The sequence below is a fragment of the Homo sapiens genome, chromosome 8 (genome assembly GCF_000001405.40).
Source record: "Homo sapiens chromosome 8, GRCh38.p14 Primary Assembly".
In the NCBI taxonomy this organism is placed as follows: domain Eukaryota; kingdom Metazoa; phylum Chordata; class Mammalia; order Primates; family Hominidae; genus Homo; species Homo sapiens.
The window spans coordinates 85,826,425-85,828,238 of record NC_000008.11 but is presented as its reverse complement, the minus strand read 5'-3'; the positions used below and the strand labels follow the sequence as shown (position 1 = coordinate 85,828,238).

The 1,814-nt window shown below is 63.5% G+C and overlaps 1 pseudogene; it reads left to right on the top strand.

Moving 5' to 3' along the window:
- Positions 400–1,535, top strand: REXO1L6P (REXO1 like 6, pseudogene; annotated as a pseudogene).

Below are 1,814 nucleotides of genomic sequence, written 5' to 3'. Positions count from 1 at the left end.
TGGCCAGCAGCAGCCAACGCTCCCGTGGCTCCAAGGTCGGCAGACAGCCAGGGAAGACGCGCAACAGGTCAGGGATGGCATGCAAGACCACCGCCACCACCAGCTCTAAGCGAATCGTCCGTCGTGCATCCTTACCGAGTTTGAGTTTGAAGAAACCCATTATCCTCCGAAGCTCTGGGTGCCAAGTCCCCACCGTCCTCCGCCGAGGCTATCTCCAACTGTTCACCGAAGAGTGTCTCAAGTTCTGCGCCTCCAAGCAGGAGGCCGAGGAGAAGGCGCTGAACGAGGAGAAGGTGGCCTACGACTGCAGCCCCAACAAGAACAGGTACCTGAACGTGGTCCTGAACACCCTCAAGAGACTGAAGGGCCTGACCCCCAGCTCCATGCCCGGCCTCAGCAGGGCCGCCCTGTACAGCCGCCTCCAGGAGTTCCTGCTCACCCAGGACCAGCTCAAGGAGAACGGCTACCCCTTCCCGCACCCCGAGCGGCCCGGAGGCGCCGTCCTCTTCACTGGCCAGGGGAAGGGGCCCGGCGACTCCTCCTGCAGGGTCTGCTGCCGTTGTGGCACCGAGTACCTGGTGTCCTCCTCGGGCCGCTGTGTACGCGACCAGTTGTGTTATTATCACTGGGGGCGGGTCCGCTCGAGCCAGGTGGCTGGAGGCCGGGTTAGCCAGTACACCTGCTGTGCAGCTGCTCCTGGCTCTGTGGGCTGCCAGGTGGCAAAGCAGCACGTGCGGGACGGCCGCAAGGAGAGCCTCGATGGCTTCGTGGAGACCTTCAAGAAAGAGTTGTCCAGAGACGCTTATCCAGGAATCTACGCCTTGGACTGTGAGATGTGCTACACCACGCATGGCCTAGAGCTGACCCGCGTCACCGTGGTGGACGCCGACATGCGAGTGGTGTACGACACCTTCGTCAAGCCCGACAACGAGATCGTGGACTACAACACCAGGTTTTCCGGAGTCACCGAGGCCGACGTCGCCAAGACGAGCATCACGTTGCCCCAAGTCCAAGCCATCCTGCTGAGCTTTTTCAGCGCCCAAACCATCCTCATCGGGCACAGCCTGGAGAGCGACCTGCTGGCCCTGAAGCTCATCCACAGCACCGTGGTGGACACGGCCGTGCTCTTCCCGCACTACCTGGGTTTCCCCTACAAGCGCTCCCTCAGGAATCTCGCGGCCGACTACCTGGCACAGATCATCCAGGACAGCCAGGACGGCCACAACTCCAGCGAGGACGCAAACGCCTGCCTGCAGCTGGTGATGTGGAAGGTCCGACAGCGCGCCCAGATCCAGCCACGCCACCGGTCCGCCTCTCCCGCCGCCCTGGCCTGTCCTTAGCCCCAGGCCTCTTCCAAAACCGCCATCAGTCCCGAGAGCTCACCCTGCCCACCTCGCCGCAAAGCGAAAGAAACTGGAGCAGCCGGCGGCAGGAGAGGGCAAAAAGCCAAGAGTAACCCCAACCCCCCACTCCCGGTCCCCCGGAATCCCTGCCGCGGCCCCTCGGGCCTGTCCACATCCCTCTGCCCCTCCCAGACCTCTGTCCTTCCACCAATCGCCTCCCGCAGCCCCGAGCCGCCACTCCCAGTCCCCCGAGTCCCTGCCGCGCGCCCTCGCGCCTGTCCACATCCCTCTGCCCATCCGAGACCTCTGTCCTTACACCACTAGCCACCCCACGTGGGACTTCCATGGCTTCTGAGTACAAGGCCAGCCCCCCGGCCCACCAGCTTTCGGAATGCCTGCTTACCTCTTTTTCTGTAGAGGCACCACAGGGAGGTGGGTGAAGCACTTCGGCTCTGGAGTTACAGATCTGGG